Genomic DNA, 23658 nt, shown 5'->3' on the forward strand with positions numbered 1-23658 from the left:
ATGATTTGGCTCTCTGTCTGTTATTGGTGTATAAGAATGCTTGTGATTTTTGCACATTGATTTTATATCCTGAGACTTTGCTGAAGTTGCCTATCAGCTTAAGGAGATTTTGGGCTGAGATGATGGGGTTTTCTAGATACACAATCATGTCGTCTGCAAACGGACAATTTGACTTCTTCTTTTCCTAACTGAATACGCTTTATTTCCTTCTCCTGCCTGATTGCCCTGGCCAGAACTTCCAACACTACGCTGAATAGGAGTGGTGAGAGAGGGCATCCCTGTCTTGTGCCAGTATTCAAAGGGAATGCTTCCAGTTTTTGCCCATTCAGTATGATATTGGCTGTGCGTTTGGCATAGATAGCTCTTATTATTTTCAGATATGTCCCATCAATACCTAATTTATCGAGAGTTTTTAGCATGAAGCGTTGTTGAATTTTGTCAAAGGCCTTTTCTGCATCTACTGAGATAATCATGTGGTTTTTGTCATTGGTTCTGTTTATATGCTGGATTACGTTTATTGATTTGTGTATGTTGAACCAGCCTTGCATCCCAGGGATGAAGCCCACTTGATCATGGTGGATAAGCTTTTTGATGTGCTGCTGGATTCAGTTTGCTAGTATTTTATTGAGGACTTTTGTATCAATGTTCATCAGGGACATTGATCTAAAATTCTCTTTTTTTGTTGTGTCTCTGCCAGGCTTTTGTATCAGGATGATGCTGGCCTCATAAAACGAGTTAGGGAGGATTCCCTCTTTTTCTATTGATTGGAATAGTTTCAGAAGGAATGGTACCAGTTCCTCCTTGTACCTCTGGTAGAATTTGGCTGTGAATCCATCTGGTCCTGGACTTTTTTTGGTTGGTAAGCTATTAATTATTGCCTTAATTTCAGAGCCTGTTATTGGCCTATTCAGGGATTCAACTAATTCCTGGTTTAGTCTTGGGAGGGTGTATGTGTCGAGGAATTTATCCATTTCTTCTAGATTTTCTAGTTTATTTGCGTAGAGGTGTTTATAGTATTCTCTGATGATTCTGATTCTTCTCTCTTTTCTTCTTTATTAGTCTTGCTAGCGGTCTATCAATTTTGTTGATCTTTTCAAAAACCCAGCTCCTGGATTCATTGATTTCTAGAAGGGTTTTTTGTGTCTTTATTTCCTTCAGTTATGCTCTGATCTTAGTTATTTCTTTCCTTCTGCTGGCTTTTGAATGTGTTTGCTCTTGCTTCTCTAGTTCTTTTAATTGTGATGTTAGGGTGTCAATTTTAGATCTTTCCTGCTTTCTCTTGTGGGCATTTAGTGCTATAAATTTCCCTCTACACACTGCTTTGAATGTGTCCCAGAGATTCTGGTATGTTGTGTCTTTGTTCTCCTTGGTTTCAAAGAACATCTTTATTTCTGCCTTCATTTCGTTATGTACCCAGTAGTCATTCAGGAGCAGGTTGTTCAGTTTCCATGTAGTTGAGCGGTTTTGAGTGAGTTTCTTTATCCTGAGTTCTAGTTTGATTGCACTGTGGTCTGAGAGATAGTTTGTTATAATTTCTGTTCTTTTACATTTGCTGAGGAGTGCTTTACTCCCAACTATGTGGTCAATTTTGGAATAAGTGTGGTGTGGTGCTGAAAAGAATGCATATTCTGTTGATTTGGGGTGGAGAGTTCTGTAGATGTCTACTAGGTCTGCTTGGTGCAGAGCTGAGTTCAATTCCTGGATATCCTTGTTAACTTTCTGTCTCGTTGACCTGTCTAATGTTGACAGTGGGGTGTTAAAGTCTCCCATTATTATTTTGTGGGAGTCTGTCTCTTTGTAGGTCCCTGAGGACTTGCTTTATGAATCTGGGTGCTCCTGTATTGGGTGCATATATATTTAGGAGAGTCAGCCCTTCTTGTTGAATTGATCCCTTTACCATTATGTAATGGCCTTCTTTGTCTCTTTTGATCTTTGTTGGTTTAAAGTCTGTTTTATCTGAGACTAGGATTGCAACCCCTGCCTTTTTTTGTTTTCCATTTCTTGGTAGATCTTCCTCCATCCTTTTATTTTGAGCCTATGTGTGTCTCTGCACGTGAGATGGGTTTCCTGAATACAGCACACTGATGGGTCTTGACTCTTTATCCAATTTGCCAGTCTGTGTCTTTTAATTGGAGCATTTAGCCCATTTACATTTAAGGTTAATATTGCTATGTGTGAATCTGATCCTGTCATTATGATGTTAGCTGGTTATTTTGCTCAATAGTTGATGCAGTTTCTTCCTAGTCTTGATGATCTTTACAATTTGGGATGTTTTTGTAGGGGCTGGTACCAGTTGTTCCTTTCCATGTTTAGTGCTTCCTTCAGGAGCTCTTTTAGGGCAGGCCTGGTGGTGACAAAATCTCTCAGCATTTGCTTGTCTGTAAAGGATTTTATTTCTCCTTCACTTATGAAGCTTAGTTTGGCTGGATATGAAATTCTGGGTTGAAAATTCTTTTCTTTAAAAATGTTGAATATTGGCCCCAACTCTCTTCTGGCTTGTAGAGTTTCTGCCAAGAGATCATCTGTTAGTCTGATGGGCTTCCCTTTGTGGGTAACCTTACCTTTCTCTCTGGCTGCCCTTAACATTTTTTCCTTCATTTCAACTTTGGTGAATCTGACAATTTTTTGTCTTGGAATTGCTCTTCTCAAGGAGTATCTTTGTAGCATTGTCTGTATTTCCTGAATTTGAATGTTGGCCTGCCTTGCTAGATTGGGGAAGTTATCCTGGATAATATCCTGCAGAGTGTTTTCCAACTTGGTTCCATTCTCCCTGTCACTTTCAGGTACACCAATCAGACATAGATTTGGTCTTTTCACGTAATCCCAGATTTCATGGAGGCTTTCTTCATTTCTTTTTTTCTTTTTTCTCTAAACTTCTCACTTCATTTCATTCATTCCATCTTCCATCACTGATACCCTTTCTTCCAGTTGATTGAATCAACACTCAGGCTTGTGCATTCATCATGTAGTTCTCATGCTGTGGTTTTCAGCTCCATCAGGTCCTTTAACGACTTCTCTGCATTGGTTATTCTAATTAGCTGTTCGTCTAATCTTTTTTCAAGTTTTTTAACTTCTTTGCCATGGGTTTGAACTTCCTCCTTTAGCTTGGAGTAGTTTGATCATCTGAAGCATTCTTCTCTCCACTTGCCAAAGTCATTCTCCATCTAGCTTTGTTCCGTTGCTGGTGAGGAGCTGCATTCCTTTGGAGTAGGAGAGGGGCTCTGATTTTTAGAATTTCCAGTTTTTCTGCTCTGTTTTTTCCCCATCTTTGTGGTTTTATCTACCTTTGGTCTTTGATGATGGTGACATACAGATGGGGTTTTGGTGTGGATTTCCTTTCTGTTTGTTAGTTTTCCTTCTAACAGTCAGGACCCTCAGCTGCAGGTCTGTTGGAGTTTGCTGGAGGTCCACTCCAGACCCTGTTTGCCTGGATATCAGCAGCGGAGGCTGCAGAACAGCAGATATTGGTGAACAGCAAATGTTGCTGCTTGATCGTTCCTCTGGAAGTTTTGTCTCAGAGGAATACCCAGCCATGTGAGTTGTCAGTCTGCCCCTTACTGGGAGGTGCCTCCCAGTTAGGCTACTCAGGGGTCAGGGACCCACTTGAGGAGGCAGTCTGTCTGTTCTCAGATCTCAAGCTGCATGCTGGGAGAACCACTACTCTCTTCAATGCTGTCAGACAGGGACATTTAAGTCTGCAGAGGTTTCTGCTGCCTTTTGTTTGGCTATGCCCTGTCCCCAGAGGTGGAATCTACGGAGGCAGTCAGGCCTCCTTGAGCTGCGGTGACCTCCACCCAGTTTGAGCTTCCTGGCTGCTTTGTTTACCTACTCAAGCCTCAGCAATGGTGGGCACCCCTCACCCTGCTTTGCTGCTGCCTTGCAGTTTGATCTCAGACTGCTGTGCTAGCAATGAGTGAGGCTCCATGGGCATAGGGCCCTCTGAGCCATGCACGGGATATAATCTCCTGGTGTGCCATTTGGTACGAACATTTGAAAAGTGCAGTATTAGGGTGGGAGTGACCCAATTTTCCAGATGCCATCTGTCACCCCTTTCTTTGACTAGGAAAGGGAATTCCCTGACCTCTTGGGCTTCCTGGTTGAGGCAATGCCTCTTCCTGCTTCAGTAATGCTTCGTGCGCTGCACGCACTGTCCTGCACCCACTGTCTGACACTCCCCAGTGAGATGAACCTGGCACTTCAGTTGGAAATGCAGAAACTACTCGTCTTCTGTGTCACTCATGTTGGGAGCTGTAGACTGGAGTTGTTCCTATTTGGCCATCTTGGCTCCAGCACCTATAGGAATTTTTAAAAACCAAAAGCTAAAAGTAAAAAATAACCAAAATTAGAGAACTGAATGCAACTGAGATGCAAAAACAAATACAAAAATCAAAGAAATCAAGAGTTGGTTCTTATAAAAAGAAAAAAAAGATCATATACCACTGCCTAGAGCAACAGAGAAAAAGAAGATTCACATAAGTACAATCAGAAATGACAAAGATGACATTACAACCTGTCACAGAGAAGTACAAAAGATTTTCAGAGAATATTATGAAGAACTCTGTGCACACAAATTAAGCAATGTGGAGGAAATGCACAAATTTCTGACAGCACACAATCTTCCAATATTGAATCAGGAAGTTGTAGAGAGTCTTAATAGACCAATATAGAGCTCTGAAATAGAATCAGGACCAAAAAAACCTACCAATCAAATAAAACCCTGGACCAGATGGATTCACAGCTGAATTCTAAGAGAAGTACAAACAAATGATGCTAATTGTACTGAAACTATTCCAAAATCTTGAGGAGGAGGGACTCCTCCTTAACTCATTCTATGAAGCCAGCATCAACTTAATATCAAGATCAGGGGAAAACACAGTGGAAAAAGAAATCTTCAGGTTAACATCATTGATAAATATAGACATGAAATTTCTAAAAAAAAAAAAAAAAAGAGTGACAAACTGAATTTAGGAGCACATTAAAGTTAATTCACCATAATCAAGTAGGCCTTATTTTGGGATGGAAGGCTGGTTCAACACATGCAAACCAATAAATTCAGTTCACTACATAAATGGAATTAAAACAAAAACCAAATGATTGTCTCAGAAGATGGAGGAGAAGCTTTTGATAAAGTCTAACTTCACCCAATAATAAAAAGCCTCAGTAGACTAGGCATTGAAAGAAGATACCTCAAAATAATAAGATTCACCTATGAAAAACCCACAGCGAAAATCATACTTAATGGTCAAAAGCTGGAACCATTCATTTCCCTTGAAAACTGGAACAAGACACGGATGGCCCCACTCATGATTTCTATTCAACACAGTACTGAAATCCTAGCCAAAGCAATCAGGCAAGAGGAGAGAAAAGACATCCAAGTAGTAAAAGAAGAAGTCAAAGTATCTCTCTTGCTTGACAATATAATTCTGTATCTGAAAAAGCCCCAAGGCTCTGTCAAAAGGCTAGTAGAACTGATAAGTGATTTTAGTGAGGTTTTGGGATTTAAAAAATCAGTGTAGAAAAATCAGTAGCACTTCTATACACCAATAATGTCTAGGCTGAGAGCTAAATAAAAAACACCATTTTATTTACAATAGCTACAAAGAATAATTAAATACTTACGTATATAGCTAACCAAGAAGGTGAAAGTTCTCTACGAAGAGAACTACAAAACACTGCTGAAACAAATCAGAGATGACACAAATACATTGAAAAAAATTCCATGTCAATGGATTGGAAGAATAAATATTAATAAAATGGCAATACTGACCAAAGCAATTTACAGATTCTGTGCTATTCTTATCAAACTATCAACATCATTCTTTATAGAAGTAGGAAAAAAAAGATTCTAAAAGTTACAAGGGACAAAAAAGGGCTTGAACAGCCAAAGCCATCCCAAGTAAAAAGAACAAAGTTGGAGGAACCAAACTACCCAACTTCAAACTACACTGCAAAGCTATTATAACCCAAACAGCATGGTATTAGTACAAAATCAGACACATAGACCAATGGAAGGCAATAGAAACCTCAGAAATAAAACCACACACTAGCAACCATCTGTTCATTGACAACCTCATAACAACTAGCAGTGAGGAAAAAAAATTGTCAGTAAATAGTTCTGGGATAACTGGTTAGCCACAGGTGGGAGATAGAAATTGGGCCCTACTTTTTATCATATACAAAAAATTAATTCAAAATGGTTCAAAAATCTAAATGTAAGACCTCAAACTACAAAATTGCTAGAAAACAACCTAGGAAATACCCTTCTTAACACTGGCTTTAAAAAAGCACAAAGCTGAGGGTATCACACTACCTGACTTCAAACTATACTACAAGGCTACAGTAACCAAAACAGCATGGTACTGGTACTAGAACAGACACATAGACCAATGGAACGAAACAGAGAACTCAGAAATAAGACTGCACACCTACAACCATCTGATCTTGTACAAACCTGACAAAAACAACCAATGAGGAAACCATTCTCTATTTAATAAATTGTGCTTGAAGAACTAGTCATTGGCAGAAAATTGAAACTGGACCCCTTTTTTACACCATATACAAAAATTAACTCAAGATAGATTAAAGCCTTAATTGTAAAACCAAAAACAATAAAAATTCCAGAATAAAATCTAGGTAATACCATTCAAGTTTTCATGAAAAAAACACCAAAAGCAATTGCAACAAAAGAAAAATTTGACAAATGGGATCTAAATAAATGAAAGAGCTTCTGCACAGCAAAAGAAACTATCATCAGCATGAACAGACAACCTACAAAATGGAGAGAATTTTTGCAATCTATGCATCTGACAAAGGTCTAATATCCAGAGTCTAAGAGGAACATAAACAAATTTACAAGAAAAAAACAACCCCGTTAAATAGTGGGCTAAGGATATGAGCAGACGCTTCTCAAAGGAAGATGTTCATGTGGCCAACAAACATGAAAAAAAAGTTCAACATCACAGATCATTAGAGAAATGCCATTCAAAACCACAATGAGATACTACCTCCTGCCAGTCAGAATGGTAGTTATTAAAAAGTCAAGAAACCACAGATGCTGGTGAGGCTGCAGGGAAAAAGTAATGCTTTTACACTGCTGGTGACAGTATGAATTATTTCAACCATTATTGAAGACAGATAAGGAAGCAGAAATACCATTTGACCCAGCAATCCATTACTGAGTATATACCTAAAGGAATATAAATCATTCTATTATAAAGATACATGCACGTGTATGTTCATTGCAGCACTATTCCCAATAGCAAAGACATGGACTCAACCCAAATGTCCATCAATGATAGACTGGATAAAGAACATGTGGTACATATACACCATGGAATACTATGTAGCCATAAAAAGTAATGAAATCATGTCCTTTGCAGGGACATGGATGGAGCTGGAAGTTGTTATCCTCAGCAAACTAATCCAGGAACAGAAAACCACACACCACATGTTCTCACTTTTAAGTGGGAGCTGAATGATGAGAACACATGAACATATGGGGGGAACAACACACACTGGGGCCTGTTGGGTGTTGGGGAGATGAATTGCATCATGAAGAATAGCTAGTGGGTGCTGGGCTTAATACCTAGGTGATGAGTTGATCTGTGCAGCAGACCACCATGGTCATGTATCCTGGAACTTAAAATAAAAGTTGATGAAAAAAACTAGAAAAATTTGCAGATTCTATAAAACTGACTAAAAAATAGATGCTATTACACAATATACCCATGTAACAACCTGCACCTGTACTCCCTATATTTAAAATAAAAGTTAAAATTAAAAAATAAAATTGGCTTTGACAAAAAATTTTTGCCCAAGCCCCCAAAAGCAATTGCATCAGAAACAGAAAATAGACAAGTGAGAACTAATTAAAATAAAGAGCTACACAGCAAAGGAAACTATCCACAGAGTAAATAGACAACATAGAGAATGAAAGAAAATATTCACAAACTATGCATTCCTACAAAGTCCTATTGTCCAGAATCTATAGATGACAAATCAACAAGAAAAAACAAACAACCCCATTAAAAATTGAAATTGACATGAACAGACACTTCTCAAAAGAAGACATACAAGCAGCCAAAAACTTATCAAAAAATTCTCAATATCACTAATCATCAGAGAAATGCAAATGAAAACCAAAATGAGACACCGTCTCACACCAGTCAAAATGGCCATTAGAAAAAGTTAAAAAGCAACAAGATGTTCATGAAGCTGGATATGAAATGAAATGCTTATACACTGTTTGTGATAATGTAAATTAGTTCAGCCACTTTGGATAGCAGTTTGGAGATTCCTCAAGAAAATTAAAACAGAATTACCATTTGATCCAGAAATTCCATTACTAAGTACATACCCAAAGAAAAATAGATCATTATACCAAAAGGACACGTGTACTTGTACCTTCATTGCTACACTATTCACAATAGCAGAGACATGGGATGAACCTAGGTGTCCATCAGTGGTCAATTGAATAAAGCAAATGTGGTACATATGCACCATGGAATATTATGCATCAGTAACAACAAATGAAATCATGTCATTAGCAGCAACATGGATGGAGGTGGAAGGCATAAGCAAACTAACACAGGTGCAGGAAACTAAACACTACATGTTCTCATTTATAAGTGAAAGTTACAGATAAAGCACACATGTACATAAACATGGGAAAAATAGACATTGTATTCTACTAGAAGTGGGATAGAGGAAAGGGGATGTGGGTTGAAAAACTACCTATTGTGTACTATGCTCACTACCTGAGTACAATATACCCTATGTCACAAACCTTTATGTGTAGCCCCTGTATCCTACATAAAAGTTAAAATTATTTTTTAAAATGAAATAAAAAAATCTAAGCATTAACATAAAAATTATGGAAAAAAGAGGAAACCAACAAAAAACAAGCAAAAAAAAAGAAAATTACATAAATTACTCCAAAAAAATATTAAATAGAGATCATAGAAACATTGAAATTGATTGAACTTAAAGTAGGCTCTTTGAAAATATCTACAAAATTGACAATACTTTAGCTAGACTAAGAAGAAAAATAAAGAAATTATAAAAGTTAGAAATCAAAGGAGATATTACCATGGGCCCTTTGGAAATTAAAAGTGTGAGGGAATAAATACTATGGGCAACTTTATGCCAATAAACTAAACAACTTTGAAAATAGGCTAACTTCTACAAAATTACTACTGTACCCCAAATGACTCAGGAATTAATATAAAATAATATTATAAATAATAATAATATTATTATTATTATAAATAACAGAGATAAAAAAGACATTTTCCTAGATATTAAAAATCTCAGCCCAAAGAAAAGTCAAAGACTATATGTTTTCACTGGTGACTTTTATGAAATATGTAAAGAAACAATTCCATTACTCAACAAACTTTTTTCAAAAATACATGAGTACAGAATATTTCTCAACTCTTTTTATGAGGCCAATATCATCCTGACACCAAAGCCAGACTAAGGCATGTCAAAGGAGAACTACACTTCAATATCCTTCATTAATAGAGATGACAATCTTTAACAAAATACAACAGTGTGTAAAGAAAATAACACATCAGTATATAAAGGGATTTAAATAGTATATACAGAAAATAATACATCATTGTCAAGTTATATTAATTATAGTAATGCATGGTTGCATTAATTGCCTCAAATTTAATTAATAAAACATGACACCTTAATACTACACAGCAAAAATATTAAATGAGCATCTTAATAGATGCAGAGAAGACATAAGACAAAATACAGTACCCATTCATTATAAAATCTCTTAGCAAGCTTGGAATATCAGGAAAGACTCTCTACTTGATAAAAGACATTAGTAAACAACACATGAAGTATTATATTAAATGGTTGTCTTAGTCCATTTTCTTTTTTTTTCAGGGATTATAAATCTATAGTTTTATTAAGACAAAAACTGACAGTGTAGTATGAAGTTTACATTTAAACAAAGTTTACACAGAAATCTAACACATGCCTAAAAGAATTTTACAATGTAGCTCTAGATGCAAGTCTAGACAATATCAAGAACTGATGGATCTCACGACTCAAGACAGAGCATTTTGGGTATGTTACTTCTTAGGATTTCTTAAAAAATTGTTTTGTGTGTGTCTGTGTGTGTGTGTGTGTGTGTGTGTGTGTGTGTGTTTTAAAGGGAACCACTGCCCAATATGAAAGTTTAATCTTCTGAGACCAAGGCTTTTGAAATCACTAAACTCTTGGATCAATTCGGTGAAACTTGTGCTGTCAGTGACTGAACCCTGCCAACAATGGTTTCAGTGTTCAAAGCTCAAAAAAGAGAATGGCTCCAAGAGTTCTCCCCACTAAAAATGGCTCCAAGAGTTTTCCCCACTAAAAGCATGGGCCCTTGTCTTTCCCTACTGTCTTATCTCCTCTACCACCCTCTTCCTCTTCCCTAACACCTCAGCCAGTGTCTTGGATGAACAAGCTGATATTTATAACTTCGTTACTGGAAAAGAAAGGGTCTTCTAATTTCAGGAATTAGCACCTCTAAGACAGAATGATCTGCTTGTACTGTATACTCTCCAATAAAAGACCTTCCCTCCTTGTCAATTTCCATCTCCAAAATGGCAACTTTGGTAACTTATGAACAGGCTTAGTCCTTTGTGGGAACAGCAATAAGTTTAGGCAGGGAACACCTTGGCTTATAGGTTTCAGACATTCACAGCTTTTAAACAGTCTCTCACAGTCCTTATTTATGGTGCCAATGACATTTTTTTTAAAGGTAAAATATTCTGGACATAGAAGCAAATCATTAGTTGTCTGTTCTTTTCCATTGCTTCACCATTTCCCCTATCAGGCCCCAAATGTTAATCTAAATGATACTACCCATCTCCCTTTCTCCCCTCCCCATCCCTCCCTCCCCCAAATAATACACCAGTAATAGCCAAAAACTACACACATGCTACACTGTAAAAATGCAGAGTTAACGCTATTGGGAAGAAGGCTGTGTGTTGTGGAGATGCTCTTTGAAGATCTACAGTATTTTTTTGCTCTCCCACACACCCAATTCTGCAAGTTTTGTCCTTCATAGAAGGCCCTTTGCTTTTTACAGCAAAGTGCAGGAAAGGTTGCCTTGAAACATCCCCTTTCCCCTCCACTGGGATGGGTGTGCAAACTATACAGCTTGAAACGGCTTTAAAGCACTTGGGCTGCTCCAGGGCACAGAAACTATACTGGCTCTTCAAAGGACATCTTCTCAAGCCACCTCTATGGTGTCAAGACAAGTCGAACTCCTTCCCTTCCCACTTGAAACCCACAGTCAGATGTGACAGGGGCTGGTACTCAAGAGCGTTAATTCTTGTCATTTTTTTTGTCATCATCCTCCGAGGGTTAGGAATGCCATGTCAGCCTTTCCTCATAGAAGGATATGACAACCTGTGGGCACTTGACACTGGCTTCCTTGGCAGGGACCAGGTCAGCCTCATGAGTTTTTCCATTTCATCAGGAACATGACCTCTCCACTGGAGTCTGTAGCTCCAATAATCCGCTCTGGCTCCAAACCTCGAGCAAAGCCTCGTGGCTTTTCTGACTCTTCTTTCTTCCCCTTTGGTTTGCTCTCCTCTCCCTTATCTTCAGAATCAGAATCAGCTTTGTGCTTGCCTCCCTCTGATTTATCTGTCTCATGTGCTGTTTTCTGTGACTGCAGAAACTCAGCAATGAGGTCGAGGCAATCCAGGTTCTCTTCTGGCTCCCATGTGTTATCCTCATCTGAGAATCCCTTCCACTTTAGGAGGTACTCCACTTTGTCCTTTACCACTCCACGGTCGAGAAATTTTTCCACCACATATTCCTTTTCCTCCTCTTCTAGCACTTCCTCCACTTTCTTCTTGTTTAGTTTTTTTCCCCATAGTGCCCGCCAGGTTTCTGGTGTAAAGGGTGACGCTGCTCAGAGCAGCGCCCAAGAGCCCGAGAGGAATCAGTGCTGTGCTACTGGCGTGTCACGTCGAGTCACCTGGGGGAGTGGCGCCCCGGAAGGCAGCAAGCCGGGTGGCCACAGTGGAGTCCCTCACTGAAGCGGCATACCGCAGGCCCCAGCCAATGGCCCTCCCCTCAGCCGAACCTGTCTTAGTCCATTTTCTATGCTATAACTGAATACCTATGACTTGGTAATTTATAAAGAAAATAAGTTCATTTAGCTTATGGTTCTGGAGGCTGGGAACTCCAAGAGCCATGGTGTTGATATCTGGTGAGGGCCTTCCAGCTGTGTTGTGATATGGTGAAAGGCACCACATGGAAAGAGAGCAAGAATGTCCATGTCAGTTCAGTTTCTCTTTCTGTTCTCACAAAGGCACCAGTTCCATCATGAAGGCCTCACCCTGACAACTGTATTTAATACTAATTACTTCCCAAAGGATCTACCTCCAATCAATATATGAATTTGAGGGTTAAGTTTCCATCACAGGATATTTGTGACATATTTCAGCCATTGCGTTCTAACCCACCCCTCAATATTTATGTCCTTCTCACATGCAAAATACACTCATTCTACATCAATAGCCCCAAAGTCTTAACTCTTTCTAGCACCAACTCAAAAGTCCTAAGCTCAGAGTCTCATCTGAATCAGATATGAATGAGACTCAATTCACAATTCATCTTGAGGCAAATTTCTTCCAGCTGTTAGCCTGTGAAATTAAACAAGTTATCTATTTCAAAAATAAAATGGTTGGACAGACATATGACAGATATTCCTATTCCAAAAAGGAAAATGGGCAAAGTGAAAATAATTACGAGTCTCAAGTAAGTCCAAACCCCAACAGGAAAAAACACATTCAGTCTTAAAGCCAAAGAATAATCTCCTTTGACTGCACACATACATCCTGTGCACACTGGTGTGGGTGTTGTGACCTCAAGGCCTTAAGGAAGCCCCACACACACCACATTGCTGGACTCACCCCACAATTAAGCCTTCCTGAGTTGGCTTTGCACATTAATAGCTCCGTAATTCTGGGATCTTTGTGGTGGTGCTGCTCCCAAGACTCCATTAGGCATTATGCTAGTGGGGACTCCCTGCAATGGCCTTGCTCCCATGGATCCCCTAGGCATTGCCTTGGTGAAGGCTCTCTTTGGTGTCTTTTCTTTTGTGACATCTCTTCCTTGCTCCTCAGGCTGTCTGTGACATCCTTTGAAATCAAAATGAAGAAATCCATCCTCCGACAGTTTTTGCATTCTGCATATCTTCAGTATTAGCACCACATAGATGCTGCCAAAGTTTATGACTTGCACCTTTCAGAGTAGCAGGCCAAACCACCTGAGGCCATTTGAGCCATAGCTGGGGTGGCTGAACACTGCTGCATTTCTGAAATGCTGGGAGCAGACACCTGAGACAATTAAAGCAGGGACCCATCCCCTAAATAAATTCTGCCCTCCTAGAGCTCTGGGCCTGTGATGGGAGGGGCCACATCAAATATCTCTGAAATATCTTAGGGTTTTCTCCCACTATTCTGATGAATAGCCCCTGGCTTTTTTCTATCCATACTAATCTTATCAATAGTTCACTTGGTCACACTCTTGGTTTCCTCTACTAAAAATGCTCTTTCATTCTCCACCATATGACTAGGCTGCAAATTTTCTAATTCTTTCTACTATGCTTTCTTTTAAAATTATAAATTCTGTTTTTATATTATCTTTTTCCTCTCTTATTTTATATAAGCAGTTAAAAGTAGCCATACAGCAGACTGAATGCTTTGCTACTTAGATATTTCTTTCACCAGATATGCTAGCTTCACTCTTTTTTCTGCCTTCTATAAAGAAATCAGAGATGACACAAGCAAATGGAAAAATTTCATGCTCATGGATAGGAAGAATCAATATTAAAATGGCCAAACTGCCCAATGCTATTTACAGATTCAATGCTATCCCTAACAAACTATAAGTGACATTCTTCACAGAACTAGAAAAAAACTATTTTAAAATTCATATGGAACCCAAAATGCTCAAGTAGCCAAGGCAATCTTAAGCAAATAGAACAAAGCTGGAAGTATCACATTACCTAACTTCAAACTATACTAGGGGGCTACACTAGCCAAAACAGCATGGTACTGGAACAGAAACAGACACATAGACCAATGAAACAGAACAGAGAGCCAAAAAATAAGACCACACCTGCAACCACCTGATCTTTGACAAAGGTGACAAAAAGAAGCAATGGGGAAATGACTCTCTATTCAATAAATGGTGCTGGGATGACTGGTTAGCCATATGCAGAAAATTGAAACTTGGCCCCTTCCTTACACCATATACAAAATTAAACTCAAGATGGATAAAAGACTTACATGTAAAATCCAAAAGGATAAAAACTTTGGGATGCAACCTAGGCAATACTATTCTGGACATAGGCGCTAGCAAATATTTCATGACTAAGACACCAATTGCACCAAAAGCAGAAAAATGGGATCTATTTTAAGTAAAGGGCTTCTTCAGAGAAGAGTATCAGTAGAGTAAAGAGACAACATACAGAATCAGATAAAACATTTGCAAACTATGCATCTGACAAAGTTCTAATATTCAGCATCCATAAGAAACAAATATGTTTACAAGAAAAAAAACACAGAACCCCATTAAAAAATGGTCAAAAGCCATGAACAGTTTTCAAAAAGGACATACATGTGACCAACAAGCATGTGAAAAAAAAGTTCAATATCACTAATCATTAAAGAAACAAATATCAAAACCACAATGAGATGCCATCTCACACTAGTCAGAATGGCTATTTTTTGTGTGTACCACTGGAAGGCCAGTTAATGTAATTTTACTTATTTATTTTTAATCTCAATAGTTTTGGGGAAACAGGTGGTGTTTGGATACAAGAATAACTTATTTACTGGCGATTTCTGAGATTTTGGTGCACCCATCACCCGAGTAGTGAACATTGTACCCAATGTGTAGTCTTTTATCCTTCACCCCCTCCCACCCTTTTCCCTGAGTCCCCAAAGACCATTGTATCATTCTTATGGCTTTGTGTCCTCATAGCTTAACTCCCACTTATGAATGAGAACAATGTTTGGTTCTCCATTCCTGAGCTACTTCACTGAGAATAATGGTCTCCAAATTGCTGCTAATGCCATTATTTCATTCTTTTTATGGCTGAGTAGTATTCCACGGCATATATATATATGCACACACACACACATATATACATATATATACACACACATATATACATATATATACCACATTTTCTTTATTTACTCATTGATTGATGGGCATTTGGATTGGTTCCATATTTTTACAATTTAGAAATGTGCTGCAATAAACATGCATGTGAAAATATCTTTTTTGAAAAGTGACTTCTTTTCCTCTGGATAGATACCCAGGAGTGGGATTGCTGGATCAAATGGTACATCTACTTTTAATTCTTTAAGGAAACTTCACACTGTTTTCCACAGCGGTTTTACTAGTTTACATTCCCACCAGCAGTGTAAAAGTGTTCCCTTTACATGACATCCATGTCAACATCTAATTTTTTTTTAATATGCCCATTCTTGTAGGAATTAGGTGGTATGGCATTATGGTTTTGATTTGCATTTCCCTGATAATCAGTGATGTTGAGCATTTTTTGAATATGTTTGTTGGCCATTTGTATATCCTCTTTTGAGAATTGTCTATTTATGTCCTTAGCACACTTTTTGATGAAATAATTTTTTTTCTTGCTGATTTGTTTGAATTCCTTATAGATTCTGGATGTTCATCCTTTGTCAGATGCATAGTTTGCAAAGATTTTCTCCACTCTGGGGGTTGTCTGTGTACTTTACTGATTATTTCTTTAGCTGTGCAGAAGATTTTTAGTTTAATTAAGTCCCATATATTTATGTTTGCGTTGCAATTGCTTTGGTGTACTTGGTCATGAAGTCTTTGCCTAACCCAATGTCTAGAAGAGTTTTTTCAATGTTATCTTCTAGAATTTTTATGGTTTTAGGTCTTACATTTAAGTCTTTGATCCATCTTGAGTTGATTTTTTTTATAAGGTGACAGAGGAGGATCCAGTTTTATTTTTCTACATGAGGGTTGCCAATTATACCGCACCATTTGTCGAATAGGGTGTCCTTTCTCACTTTATGTTTTTGTTTTTGTTTGCTTTGTCAAAGATCTGTTGGCTGTATATATTTGTATATATTTGGCTATATTTCTGGGTTTTCTATTTTAGTCCATTGGTGCATCTGCCTTTTTTTTTTTTTTTTTTTTGAGACGGAGTCTTGCTCTGTCGCCCAGGTTGGAGTGCAGTGGCGTGATCTCAGCTCACTGCAAGCTCCGCCTCCCGGGTTCACGCCATTCTCCTGCCTCAGCCTCCGGGGTAGCTTGGGACTACAGGCGCCTGCCACGACGCCCCGCTAATTTTTTGTATTTTTCAGTAGAGACGGGATTTCACCGTGTTAGCCAGGATGGTCTTGATCTCCTGACCTTGTGATCCTCCCGCCTCAGCCTCCCAAAGTGCTGGGATTACAGGCACGAGCCACCACGCCCGGCCGCATCTGCCTATTTTTCTAGCAGTACCATGCTGTTTTGGTGACTACAGACTTGTACTATAATTTGAATCATAATGTGATGCCTCCAGATTTTTTTTTCTTTGTCTTGCTTTGGCTAGTTTTGGTTCCATATGAATTTTAGGACTGAGTTTTCTAGTTCTGTGAAGAATGATGGTCGTATTTTGATGGGAGTTGAATTGAAATTGTAGACTGCTTTTGGAAGTATGGTTATTTTCACAATATTGATTCCTCCCATCCATGAGCATGGGATGTGTTTTCATTTGTTTGCATTCTCTATGATTTCTTTCAGCAGGGTTTTAGAGTTTTCCTTGTAGAGATCTTTCACTTCCTGGGTTAGGTATATTTCTAAGTATTTTCTTTTCTTTTCTTTTCTTTTTTTTTTTGCAGCTATTGTAAAATGGATTGAGTTCTTGATTTTATTCTCAGCTTGGTAGCTGTTGCTGTATAGCAGTACTACTGATTTGTGTACATTAATTTTGCATCCAGAAATTTTGCTAAATTCATTTATCAGTTCTTGGAGTTTTTTGGATGAGTCTTCGGGTTTTCTAGGTATATGATCATATCATCAGCAAACAGTGACAGGTTGACTTCCTCTTTACTGATTTGGATGCCCTTTATTTCTTTCTCTTGTCTGACTGCTCTGGCTAGGATTTCCAGTACTCTGTTGAATAGAAGTGGTGAAAGTGGGTATCCTTGTCTTGATCCAATTCTCAGGGGGAATGCTTTCAACTTTTCCTTGTTCAGTATAATGTTGGCTGTGGGTTTGTCATAGATGGGTTATATTACCTTTAAGTATGTCCCTTCTATGCTGATTTTGCCGAGCGTTTTAATTATAAACAGATGCTGAATTTTGTCAAATTTTTTTTAATCTATTGAGATGATCATGTGATTTTTGTTTGTAATTCTGTTTATATGGTTTATCACATTTATTGACTTGTGTATGTTAAACCATCCCTGCATCCCTGTTATGAAACCAACTTGATCATGGTGGATTATCTTTTTGATATGCTGTTGGATTTGGTTAGCTATATTTTGTTGAGAATGTTTGCATCTATGTTCATCATGGATATTGATCTGTAGTTTTCTTTTTCTGTTATGTCTTTTCCTGGTTTTGGTATTAGGGTGACACTGGCTTCATAGAATGATTTAGGAAGAAATTCCTCTTTATCTTTTGGAATAGTGTCAATAGAATTGGTACCAATTCTTCTTTGAATGTCTGATAGAATTCAGCTGTGAATCTGTCTGGTCCTGGACTTTTTTGTTGGCATTTTTTTTTATTACCATTTCAATCCCACTGCTTGTTGTTGGTCTGTTCAGAGATTCTATTTCTTCCTGGTTTAATCTAGGAGGGTTGTGTATTACCAGGATTTATCCATATCTTCTATATTTTCTAGTTTGTATGCATAAAGGTGTTCATGTGGTATCAGTTGTAATATTTCCATTTTCACTTCTAATTGAGCTTATTTGGGTCTTTTCTCTTCTTTTCTTGGTTAATCTCACTAATGATCTATCAATTTCATTTATCTTTCCAAGGAACCAGCTTTTTTAAATTTATTTTTTGTATTTTTTAAATTCCAGTTTCATTTAGTTCTGCTCTGATCTTTGTTATTTCTTTCCTTCTGCTGGGTTTGGGTTTGATTTGTTCCTGTTTATCTAGTTCCTTGAGTGGTATCTTAGATTGCCTATGTGTGCTCTTTCATAATTTTTAATGTAGGCATTTAAGGCTATGAACTTTCCTCTTTGCATAACCTTTGCTGTATCCCAGAGCTTTTGATTGGTTGTGTCACTATTATCATTCAGTTCTAAGAATTTTTTAAATTTCCATCTTGATTTCATTATTAACCCAATGATCATTCAGGAGCAGGTTATTTAATTTTCATGTTTTTGCATGGTTTTGAGTGTTCCTTTGGAGTTGATTTCCAGTTTTATTCCACTGATGTCTGAAAGAGTACTTGGTATAGTTTTAATTTTAATTTTCTTAAATGTATTGAGACTTATTTTGTGGCCCACAATATGGTCTATCTTAGAGAATGTTCCATGTGCTGCTGAATAGAATGTATATTCTACAGTTGTTGAGTGTAATGTTCTGTAAATATCTGTTAAGTCTATTTGTTCTAGGGTATAGTTTAAATCCATTGTTTCTTTGTTGATTTTCTGTCTTGATGAGCTATCTAGTGCTGTCAGTGGCCATACCACCCTGAACACACTCGATCTCATCAGAATGGCTATTAATAAAAAGTCAAAAAAAAAAAAAACAGATTCTAGTGAGTTTGCAGAGAAACAGAAATGTGTATACACTCTTAGTGGGAGTGTAAATTAGTTCAGCCATTGTAGAAGCAGCATGGCACGTATACACCATGGAATACTATGCAGCCATAAAAAAGGATGAGTTCATGTCCTTTGTAGGGACATGGATGAAGCTGGAAACCATCATTCTCAGCAAACTATCACAGGGACAGAAAACCAAACACTGCATGCTCTCACTCATAGGTGGGAATTGAACAATGAGAACACTTGGACACAGGAAGGGGAACATCACACACTTGGGCCTGTCATGGGGTGGTGGGAGGGGGGAGGGATAGCATTAGGAGATATACCTAATGTAAATGACGAGTTAATGGGTGCAGTACACCAACATGGCACATGTATACATATGTAACAAACCTGCACGTTGTGCACATGTACCCTAGAACTTAAAGTATAATTTAAAAATGCATAAGATAAAAAAATTGAAAAAGAAATAAAATAAAATAAAAAGAAAGTAGCATGGCAATTTCTCAAAGAGCTAAAACCAGAACTATTATTTGTCATTGCAGCACTATTCACAATAGTAAAGACATGGAATCAACTTAAATGCCCATCTATTGTAGACCAGATAAAGAAAACGCGTTACATATACACCATGAAATACTATGCAGCCATAAAAAGAATGAAATAATTTCCTTTGCAGGAAGAGGAATGGAACTGGAGGCCATGATTTTTAGCAAAGTAATCCAGAAACAGAAAAGCAAATACCATGTGATCCCAATTATAAGTGGGAGGCAAATAATGAGAATGCAATAACCCAAAGAGGGGAGCAACAGATACTAGGGTCTCCTTGAAGGAGGAGGGAGAGAATTAGGAAAAATAAACATTGAGTACTAGACTTGGTACTTGGGTGATAATCCTTATAAGAAACACCCATGACATGAACTTACCTATATAGGAAACCAGTTCATGTACTTCTAAACCTAAAATTAAAAATTAAAAAATAAGAAAGTAAACTCCACAACACATAAAAAGATCATCACTATAATCAAGTAAGATTTATTCCAGGAATGCAAGTATGTCCAACATGTGTGAATCAATAAATGATACATCATATTAAAATAATAAAGGACAAAAATTATATGATCATGTCAATAGATGCAGAAAAAGCATTTGACAACATTCATCCTTCTTCATGATAAAAAATTACTCAACATATTATGTGTAGAAGAAATGTACATGAACATAATGTGAAGGCCATATACTACAAATTGACAGTTAATTTCATATTGAATGGGGAAAAGTTGAAATCCTTTCCTCTAAGAACTGGAACAAGGCAAGGATTTCCACTTTCAATACTTCTATTTAATATAATAATAGAAGTCCTAAGCAGAGTAATTAGGCAAGCATAAAAAGGCATTCAAATTGCAAAGAAGAATTAAATTATCATTGTTTGCTTATGATATGCCCTTACGCATACAAAATCCTAAACACTTCACTGAAAAGCTGTTAGACCAACAAATAAATTCAGTAAATTTGCAGATTATAAAATCAACATACAAAAATTAGTAGAATTTCTATATGCTGATAGCAAATTATCTGAAAAGAAATCAATAAATTCTTCCAATTTACAAATACAATAAAGCAAAATGCCTAGGAATAAATTTAACCAAGTAGGTTAAATATTGATGCAGTTAAAACTCTACAACACTAATGAAAAAATTGAAAAATGTACAAATAAATGTCTACCTTATGTTCATGCATTGGAAGAACTAATATTGTTAAAATGTTCACACTACCTAAAAAGATTTACAGATTTAATGAATCCCTATCTAAACACCAATGCCATTCTTCATAGAAATAGAAAACAATCTTCTGAAATTAATATGAAACCACAAAAGTCCTTAAATAGCCAAATCAATTTTAATAACAACCAAAAAAGTTAATGGCCTTATACTACAGCCTGACTTCATAGTATACTGCAAAAATACAGCAAAGCAAAGAGCATTGCATTGACATAAAATAAGGCATATGGACAAGTGGAAAAGAATAGAAAGACCAGAAATAAATTCACACAGTTTACACCAACTGATGTTTGACAAAGGTGCCAAGAACATGTTATGGGGAAAGGACAGTCTCTTCAACAAATGGTGTTGAGAAAACTAGATATCTACATAGAGAAGAATAAAATTAAACCATTATATTTCAGAATCTACAAAAATTAACTCAGAATGTATTAAAGACTTAAATGTAAGATCTAAAACTATGAAACTTCCAGAAGAAAACATAGGGGAAATGTTTTATGACTTTTGTATGGGCAAATTTTTTTTGATAAAACCTCAAAAGCACTGGTAACAAATGCAAAAATAGACAAATGGAACCATATCAAAATAAAATCTTCACTGTAACAAAAGAACCAATCAGGAGAGTGAAGAGACAACCTACCAAATAAGAAAAAATGTTTGCAAACAATTTATCCAGCAATATACTAATATCCAGAATATACAAGGAACTCAAATAACTCAATAGGAAAAAACAAACAAGTAAATAACCTGATGTAAAAATGAAAAAAAAATCTGAATAAAAATTTCTCAATAAAAGACATACAAATGAAGAACAGGTATGTCAAAAAAATGTTCAACATCACTGATCATCTGAGAAATTCAAATAAAAACCTCAGTTAAATATCACCTCATCCCAGTTATAGTGATCATTATCAAATAGACAATATAAACCTACTAATGAGAATGTGGAGCAAAGAGGACTCATACAGTATGAACATCTCTCAAATAATTAAAAATAAAACTACCATATTGTCCAGCAATCCCACTACTAGGTATATATTGAAAGGAATTAAAATCAGTGGGTCAAGTAAATAGCTGCCATCTCATGTTTATCCCAGCACTATCACAATAGTCAAAATATAAAATCATTCATTAATCGAATATATTTTGTCATTCTACAATTTACATTTACTTAAAAACTATGTTGTACACGGTAAAAGCATACAACATTATCTGTAAATTTGTAAAATAAAAGTAAGTACACTAAGTAATATTACCAATGTTACTAAAAATTCTCTTTGGTTTTACAAATTTTAATTTACATTATCATGACACATGAGTTAAGCCAGTTTGAGTTTGTTGTAACGACAGAAAAAAGTGATAAATATGATTTGCCTTATTTCTTTAAAAGGCTGGAAACACATGTATTACTCAGGGTTCTCTAGAGGGACAGAACTAATTATATATATATATATATATGTACACACACACACAGTTTTATATATATATAGTTTTATATATATATATATACACATATATATATATATATAGTTTATTAAGCCTTAACTCACATGATCACAAGGTCCCACAATAGGCCATCTGGAAGCTAAGAAGCAAGGAGAGCCAGTCGGAGTCCCAAAACTGAAGAACTTGGAGTCCGATGTTTGAGGGCAGGAAGCATCCAGCATGGGAAAAAAATGTAGGCTGTGAGGTTAGGCTAGTCTAGTCTTTTCACATGTTTCTGCCTGTTTTAACTTCTAGCCACACTGGCAGCTGATTAGATGGTACCCACGAAGATTATGGGTGGGTCTGCCTTTCCCAGCCCACTGATTCAAATTTTAATCTCCTTTGGCAATACCCTCACAGATACACCCAGGGTCAATATTTTGTATCCTTCAATCAAATAAAGTTGAAACTCAGTATAATCATCACAAATCCACCCCTTGTCAACTTGAACCCATACACATCTCCTGAGACCCTCAAATAAAGACAATAATGTCATAATTATGCCTAACATAATACAACTATCCTTTGTACAACTGGAAACTCACCAATCCCCAACACAACTACTATCACATAAAGTTAATAAAACTTAAATGCTTATATGAAGTCAATAAATCTTATGTCACATGATAAAGAAAAAGGAAGTAAAATGATTTTTTTAGTACAAGTGTATACATGCACAAACATGTTTTTAACAAAAGAAGGAGAAAATACTCATGACAATTACAGTCTCGTTTCTGCAGCTGGGTTACGTTGTCGTAGCTGGTATTGATGACTACCTTCTTCTACTACCCATTCTGTATTCCCTTTTCCTTCAGCAAGCATCTCAGCAGGTCATGTTTTTTTCCCCTGGTGGAGTGACCCAAGCCTTTATTCCTGAAGGATATGGGCCATTTGTAGTTCTGTTGGATTGGGCTTGTTGTAGTTTCCCATTGACCTTAGTCACACGGAATGGTAACACTAAAAGACACCCTAATGAATCTCCTGCATTCCATGCGTACTCTTTTTTACCTCTGTTGTGGAATAGTAGACTGGTTTCATCTTGATAATCTCGGTCAATCACCCCAGTCAACACTTTAACTCCCTTCTTGGCCTGTTGACTTAAAGGCAGGAGGAGCCCAAAGTGTCCATGTGGCAATCTTGGCTTCCAGTTTAATGGAATCATTGTGTCTCCTGGTGGCAGCCTTCCTCCCTCTGGAACTAAGACCTCTAGGCCAGCAGAAAGTAATGTCACAGGAATAGGAAGCAAAAATTTTGCTAGTAGATCACTAGGAATGATGGTGAGTGGTGCCACTTCCACTTCCATCCCTTGATTCTTGGACCCGTGAATCCTGGCTATGGGAGAAACAGTACCATATATTGGACGCTTATTCAGAGCATACATAGCCTTCTGGAGAACTTTGCCCCAGCCCTGGAAAGTATTGTCATCTAGTTGGCATTGTAATTGTGACTTCAAAAGGCCATTCCACCATTCCACCAATCCATTCTCATGATGGGGAACATGGTAAGGCCAGTGAATTTCATGAGGAGGAGCCCACTGCTGCACTTCTTTAGCCATAAAGTGAGTGTCTTGGTCAGAGGCAATGCTGTGTGGAGTACCA

General features: G+C 37.2%; 1 long non-coding RNA gene and 1 pseudogene across 1 annotated transcript in view; one reads left to right on the plus strand and one right to left on the minus strand.

The window, feature by feature from the left end:
- The window catches only part of SPIN4-AS1 (SPIN4 antisense RNA 1), a 68502-nt gene that overhangs the window by 4099 nt on the left and 40745 nt on the right, over positions 1-23658 (plus strand). The window lies entirely within an intron of this gene.
- Positions 9904-12100, minus strand: CBX1P1 (chromobox 1 pseudogene 1; annotated as a pseudogene).

Source organism: Homo sapiens, chromosome X (genome assembly GCF_000001405.40).
Source record: "Homo sapiens chromosome X, GRCh38.p14 Primary Assembly".
Classification (NCBI taxonomy): Eukaryota; Metazoa; Chordata; class Mammalia; order Primates; family Hominidae; genus Homo; species Homo sapiens.